Source organism: Homo sapiens, chromosome 16, assembly GCF_000001405.40.
Source record: "Homo sapiens chromosome 16, GRCh38.p14 Primary Assembly".
Lineage (NCBI taxonomy): Eukaryota > Metazoa > Chordata > Mammalia > Primates > Hominidae > Homo > Homo sapiens.
This window is the reverse complement of record NC_000016.10, coordinates 51,780,957-51,789,224: the sequence shown is the minus strand read 5'-3', so window position 1 is coordinate 51,789,224 and position 8,268 is coordinate 51,780,957.

The window sequence follows — 8,268 nt, the reverse complement described above, 5'->3', positions numbered from 1 at the left end:
TTATCACAGTGATCAAATGTGTGTGTGTATGTGAAAGTGCTCTCAGACCTGCAAGTCCAATATCAATGAAAGGTTTGATGGCGATGATGATGATGAAGGTGATGAAGACCCATTCGTATACAGTCAAGAAAATCATACCTGCTTTGCCTGGCTATATAGAATCCTTATCGCTTGACTCTTAAAAAATTAAAGGAAATTAATTTTTCCTTTCCAAAAGAGGAGGTTTAATTTAAAAATTTAAGGTTTAATTAAAAAATTAAAAAATTTCCAAAAGAGGAGGTTTAATTAAAAAATTAAAGGAATTTAAAATTAAAGGAAATTTTCAGTCATTCTTCCATGGTGCCTCCCAGCTCTTAGCTTCATTTCCCAAATCCTCCCCCAGAAATCTTCCCTTCACTATATCTCTCCCTACATCCACTTAGTAAGCTCAATTACCCTCTTCTAGACAATGATACTCATGAAGAAAAAAACTGAAGACCTCTTTCTTGCCTTTCAGATGGACCTTTTCAAATATGGATAAGATGGAGAAATAAGGCATGTATTTTCAAGAAAATGTGTAAGGTAAAGGAATGTAAATCCCCAATATAGCAGAGTCTCTATTGTTTTCGTAATAATAGGAGAGAGGTCAAGAAATGCCACTTCTCTGTTGATGCTCCCAAGGACAAGCCAGCCACCAGTGTTTCCTCTGTATAAGTCACCACCAACTTAGCCTCTTCATATAATTCTCTGTAGATGCTGCCTGGGTCTCATACGAGTTGTAAAATTATTAATTGCTTGTAATTTTAAACCCACTGAAAATACTAAGACACTAATTTTCTAAAGGCCACAACATCAAGACTGAAGATAATCTAAATAGAGCTTGATCCATTCCCATTTTTCTAATCCTAGCAACAGGAAATAACTAGAATGACACATGAATTTTTTAAGAAAAAAAACCCTCAAAGTAATTTAAATAAGAATGTGAGGGTTTGTTCTACTTAGTGAAGCTCAAGATATCAAATTAAGTGCTTTATGACTTACAGTTCATCTTTTATAAAATATTTAATAATTTTTAGGTGCTTTGGTATTCATTATCTTATACAGCACTTAGTAAATAGGACAGTTTTCATTTTCTTTCTTTGTTTAACAGAAGAGGAAACTGGGGCTTGGAAAACTTATTTGTCTTCAGTTTAGAGCTTGGGTGTCCACATGGTAGCACCAAGACACGGGGGCCACTGAGCACTTGAAATATGGGTGGTGTACCTCAAAATTGAATTTGTAATTGTATTTAATTATAACTAACTTAAATTTAAATTTTAAAAGGACCCTGTGACTAGTGACTGCCATATTGGACAGCACTGGTCAATATGTACAAGGCAACAGTGATGGATTTGAACCAAGGTCTGTTGACTTCAAATTCAGTGCTTTGGGGGTATTCCTAGATTGCTCAAGATAAACTGAATCTAGGTGCTTCAAATTTTTTAATTGCCAATGTTTTCTCATAGATGAAGAACTCAGCTGTGCAGTTTTTTAGTAGTGCATGAATTACTCTTGATAAAAATCTAAAGTCCATAACTCCAACAGTGAAGCAGAGCAAAAGAGCTAAAGCTGCAACCCAAACCATTCACCATAAAAGTCCTCATTGCCCAAGAATCCCCTCAGCCTCTCAAATTTCCTCTGCCAGAGTTGATTCTAATTCCTTTCTCAATAATCCGCGTCCTGACAATCATAACATAGAACTCTCTGGGGCTTATTTCTTACTAACTTGGCACAGGAAAAGCTGTCCTCGGAGACATTCTTGATGAGAGAATGAAAACGCCATTGCCTTAACTTCCCTTAGTCCAAGATGTGAAGGCTTCTGCCTGGATACATTTATTATTGGCAATTATTTCAGGACCAGCTTCAAGTGATTGTTGCAAAGAAGAGAAATCACATATGAATCCTGATAACAGCTGACTTTCAACAGCCAAGAGGATGGTTGGAGAGGATAATCATGTTGTCAGGTGTAAGTAGGCATAAACAGACCAGACCCTCCATTTCACCTGAAGAAACGTGAGTAAGGAAAGAGAGAGGAGACAAATCATCTCAGGGTAGTGACCTCTCTCAGCACCTTCCTGGTGAAGCATGGGGTCTCATTACACATAGTGTCTGAGAAAAAGCAATGAAGCCAATTAACGACCATGGTTTACTGAGATCCATGTAGTGAGAGGGATTTAGGATAATGCCAGCTTCTGGTTGACTGCAACCTGGTCTGAAATCTTTTCTTGACTTCCACCAACATGCTAAAAAAAAGGTACCCCAAAATGAATTATGATGAGACAGTATGTTTGATGTGGACTAGAGTCTAAAGACAGCAGTTAGATATGACCAAAATTACACTTGCAGATCTCCTAAATGACCCCTAGGGAACAGTTTTATAATGTTGAATTTGTAACCCTGTACAATATTGTATGTGTACAAATAATTACCATATATATTCATATAAAAAAGATTGCCCATGCAAAATCTATGTTTACAATATTTTAAATTACTGTGTTTCTGTGTTCTTCTCTTTCTGTTTTTTCATTTTTGGTCAAGGACCTCAAGTTGATTTCATAAAAGTTAAACATATTTGTAAAGAAATGCTAATCTGTTTTCTGGACTCTGAGTGGTATTTGATTTTTATAATGGGATGTTAATGATTCTGGACAGTGACCACCAATGCTCTCCTTCTGAAAATATGTCCTCAGCCAGGAACGGTGGCTCACGCCTGTAATCCCAGCACTTTGGGAGGCCGAGGCGGACAGATTACAAGGTCAGGAGATTGAGACCATCATGGCTAACATGGTGAAACCCCTTCTCTACCAAAAATACAAAAAAAAGAAAAAAAAATTAGCTGGGTATGGTGGCAGACGCCTGTAGTCCCAGCTGCTCAGAAGGCTGAGGCAGGAGAATGGTGTGAACCCGGGAGGCAGAGCTTGCGGTGAGCGGAGATTGCACCTGGGGGACAAAGTGAGACTCCATCTCAAAAAAAAAGAAAAGAAAATACGCCCTCAGCTTCCAGGACAGTAGACAAATGTTGTCCCCAAGAACCTCCTCTGGAAGCTGTGTGTCAACAAGTTTCTAGTGGACATGACAGCTATTAGACTAAATAACAAAAAGCTGGGGGGAAGGGTGTGCAGCTGACAGTATTGAGTGCTTGCTATGCATCAGGCACATTCTTTGTAGCTTATATACATTATCTCATTTAATGATGACCAGGGTAGTTGGCCAGTAGTTGGCCTTGTGGCTTGTGGTTGACATTCATTGGAATCAAGGCATAATGAGGCCAGATAGAGAAGAAAGTCAGCTAAGTAGGTGTATATTGGAATTGTGAGCAATGATGAGAGGATGGAGTGGCAGAAAAAACTTTGCAGCAGGTTCTAAAAATATCACTGTGGGTATGGTTTTTGGAGATTGTCACACAATCCATTTGGGGACTGTGGAAATTTGGGAATGGGGAAAGGTGGAGTGTGTAAAGTTAAAATGGGAAATATTATATGTAAGTGGCAAAGAGTGTTATATAAGTGGCCACACAGCACATGGGCAAGTGAAGGGAGACACAGACTCCTTTGGAGAAGGTATTAGAGAAAATGGCATTGTATGAGGAATTTCAGACTTCAGTCAATGCAAAGAGGGATTTGGAAGGTGTTGATAATAAATTATAGTTATTGTAGACTCTTCTTATCTTGCTAATAGGCAATTATCTCTAATAAAGCTGGAGCCATACTTGATCGATATGAACATTTCCTGCCTTAGTAGGTGTAATAAGTATTTGGGGAGTAAATAGTAAGCCCATTAAATGAGTGTGAGTTACTCAAGAGATTTTAGATGGTTAGAGGAAGGATGGATATAAATGGAAGCCAAACCATGAGGCAATGTAGCATCACAGGCAGGGATTAGTGATGAGGATGGATAGATGTGTGGATGGGAGAAGTTATGTGGGAAGGTCCTTAACCAACCTTCTTCCACATGGAATCCTCTTTGCAAGTGGACTGTTGATGCAGCTAGTTGCAACACCTCAGATTTACTGCTGGGAAGGGACTTTAGAGATTACCTATTTAACTCTTGTAAAATAACAAGAGAAAAGCAAGTAGACCCATGGAGTCAAATGAGCATTATTACTCCTCCGCCTGCTACTAGCTACTTTATTGAACATTTACTATGACCCAAACGTGGCGCAATCTTCATTTTATTCTCCGTGAAGTACAGAATTTTATTACCATCCTGTTTTACAAATTAGGAAAGTGAGGTTCCAAGTGTTAAGGCAACTACACCTCTAGGGAATGTGAGAATCATGATTATCTTAGACCTATCTTTCAGCATGGCTCCAAGTTGTACATCTAGAGCTGAAATTCTATCTGCCATCTTAGTCTTCTTTCCTTTCCATAGCCACAGGCTTGCTAAAGTGCAAGGCTGACGCTGGAACTCTTCAGTTTGCCAGAGGATGACGCATTCTACTATAAACTTTATATTTAGGGCTACAAAAGAGAAAGGCCTAAGTCTTTAGAAGGAGACAAATAGAGATAAACTCTGAGTGGGTGAGGGGAGTCCCTTCAATACAGTTATGGGAACATACATTTCTATAACTTATGCAAACACCTGACTGGACAAGAACTGTCTAAGAATTTCAAGACCTATCATAGAATAGTGAGATTTCTTCTATGGGAGGTAGAAAACCTGTATGCATACACACCTGCCAAGGTGGTGAGATGCCTCCACCCCCATGACCATATCTTGGACTACTTGCAGGGTCACAGACCTAGGGAGAACCACTCTGCAAAAGCTATGGTAACCCCTCTTAACCACTGGGTTCATGTTAACTGATTTTCCTCTGCTGAATGATCTGGTAAATTGTATTAGGGCAGACTTCGCCCAAGGAAGCCATTACCATGAGGCACTGACATAACCCCTAGAAGGCTGATCTGTGACACCATCTTTGAAATCATGAATGGCAAGTTTTTATTTAACAGAGGAAGGGGAAGAAGTGGAGAAGGGAAGTCATGGAAATGATGTTATCAAAGTCAGAGTGAAGCAGGATGGTTTGGCTGTGATATTAGTATTTTTCCTATAGTTCCAGAAAGTGGGAAGATCATGTTCTTATTATTTGATGGAGTTAGTGGGTGCCCCTTGAAGGGGGGGTGACATCCATTTTTTAATTCCATAACCTTATCTGTAACTGACATGTGATTATAACACCGCAATTCTCTTTAATGCAGTCTGTAAAAACACATTGATTTTATAGCTCCCCAAACCGATTACATTAATATCTGTTCATAATTAGTTTACACATTACTAAATTACTGACAGATTAAAAGTGAAATAGTGCAGTTCATACTCAGCCGCATAACTGCCAGAAAGGAAATTAATATGGATTCAAATGGTCCTCGGAGACCTACATTGAAATAGCAGAAATCTATAAAGACTGCTTGCATTAGGAAATTTCTATCAGCAACATGTTTGTGGTTGATGCTTTCCTAAGTCTGCTAATATGAGCTGAGTGGTGCAGGAAATGATATGTGAATGATGCTTTGGCTTTTACCAACTCATGACTGTGTTTATTAAAAAGCAAGTTTTTAATTGCGGCATTTGATGTTCAGGAAAGGCTAGCTTTTAGGTTGTAAATGAAAACTTTCTGCCTTTTCTTGCTTTTCCTAATGACCTAAGTTTCAGGATTGGAACTGAGTTCCCTGACAATGCCGTCTCAGAGCAATGGCACCTGTTTTGTGATCTTTTCTCCAGCCCCCATTAGACACACACATAGGATTTGTCTCCAGAGCAATGTTTTCATTCTCCATGTCCACAGTGGCCAGGAACGTGTGTGTATTTGTGAGGTGGGGAATTGGGAATAGGAAGGGTGAGGCAGTTTCGCATCCATCCATAGAGTAAACTTGTTTTCTGATGAACTGGTAGGTAGACTAAACCTTTTTTTCTGTTTTTTAATTCCTCATATGCATTAAAGAAGTTTGCTGCCCTTTGAACACTATAAATTATTTGTCCAACTAAGAGTTCAAAAATGAATAATTTTGTTCTATCTGATAAGACACCACATTTGAACTCTTTCCATAGGAAAGACACTTGCATTCTGTTGAATTCTGAAGAATGTTAACGCTGAGGACGGTGTTGGTTATAAATGAGGTTAAAAATGGTGGAATACTTAGTACACTTTTGGTGGGAGTGCAGATCAGTTCAGCCCCTATGGAAAGCAGTTTAGAGATTTCTCAAAGAACTAAAAATAGAATTATTTGACCCAGCAATCCAATTACCAGGTGTATACTCAAAGGAAAAGAAATCATTCTACCAAAGAAACACCTGTTCTTATATGTTTATCACAGCGCTATTCACAGTATCATGGAATCAACCTAGGTGCCCATCAACAATGGATTTGATAAAGAAAATGTGGTACATATACACCATGGAATGCTATGCAGCCATAAAGAAGAATGAAATTATGTCCTTTGCAGCAACATGGATGCAGCTGGAGGCCATTATCCTAAATGAATTAAGTCAGAAACAGAAAATCAAGTACCACATGTTTTTACTTATAAGCAGGAGCTAAACATTGGTAGACATGGACATGAAGAGGGAAACAATAGACACTGGGGATTCCAGAGTTGAAAAACTAGTAAACTGTTGGGTAGTATGTTCACTATTCGAGTGATGGGCTCAATAGAAGCCCATACTTCAGGATCATGCAATATACCCATGCAACACACCTGCACATGTACTCCCTGAATCTAAAGCTTTTTTTAAAAAAAGAAAAAATGTAAAGCAGTCACTAGTAGTTATTAGGGACAAGATCCAACATTAATTGAATACCAGCTGTGTTCCAGATACTCTGTGGGGTATTTTATTCATGTGTAGGTTCTCACCACCATCACCCTCACCGTAGTCTCATCATCTCCATTTTATTAATGATGAAAGTTGCTTAGAGCGACTTGACCAGAATATAGTAACTTAACCAACTTCACATGGTTAGTAAAATAAGAGATTCAGGTTTTCAATTATTTTCTATTTGCCTCCAAAACTCAAGTAGGAAGTGGGGAGACAGGCAAAAAGGGAAGAGGAAGATTCTGGAGGTGCCAGTGATTTTCCATGAGCCCAAGGAAGTGGCTCCTCTGTCTGAAGCTTGGGTTTAAAAAAAAAATCTCTTCCTGAGTACTCAAAGCATGCTATCATATCTTGTCATCTTTATCATTTTATTAGTTATCAATTGCTAATTGCTGTGTAACAAATAGCTCCAAAATTTAGTAGCTTAAAACAATATTTACTATCTCAATTTCCATAGGTCAGGAGTCTAGATGCAGCTTAGCTGGGTCCTCTGGCTCAAGGATTCTCACAAGGCTGCAATCAAGGTGTCAGCCAGGGCTGCTGTTGTTTCCAGGCCAGACTGGTGAAGGACCACTACCAAATTCACTTTGTGATTGTTGACAAGATTCAGTTCCTTGGGGGCTGTTGGACTGAGGGTTGCCCTCCGTTCCTTATCAAATGAGCTTCTTTATAGGCAGCTCATAACATGACAGCTCACTTCATCAGAATAAGCAAGCAAGAAAGAGAGAGAGCAAGATGCAAGAGATTCAAGGAGAAAGTCACAGTCCTTCGTAACCTAATCTCAGAAGTGACATCCCATCACTTTTGCTATATTCTATTCTTCAGAGAAAGTCATTAGGTTCAGCCCAACTCAAGAATATAAAAACTAAAAGGCAGAGATCACTGGCAGCCAGATTAGAAGCTGCCCATCACAACCATGAATTCATTTCTTCATTATCTAGGTTTATTTATTATATCAACAACTAATTATTGATTCCTTACTATGTGTCACATTTTATATTTGGAACTAGAGATATACTGGCAAGAAAACAATAATACTATTACAAAAACTTCCATTAATAATAGAAATAACAGACACATACAGTGCCTAGTATGTGCCAGGGAACATTATAAGCGGTTTGTATGTATCAGATCAATCCTTGTATGAGTCCTATTAAGTAAATACTATTATTATCCCAATTTACAGATGAAGATAACTAAGGTGCAGAAATGTTAGGTAATTCTGCAAGGTCATGAAGCTAGCAAGTGGCAGAGCAGAAACGCAATCCCAGGCTGTACATATTCAGATCCTGTTCTTTTCTTAACCCATAAGCTATATTCCTTCCATCATTTTAATATTATTCATGAAGGATTTACAGGAAAGTATATAGGAGCTGATTGGCTATTGCAGCAGAGAAATTAGCTACAGATTATTGCAGAAGCTCAGGTAGAGAATATGGG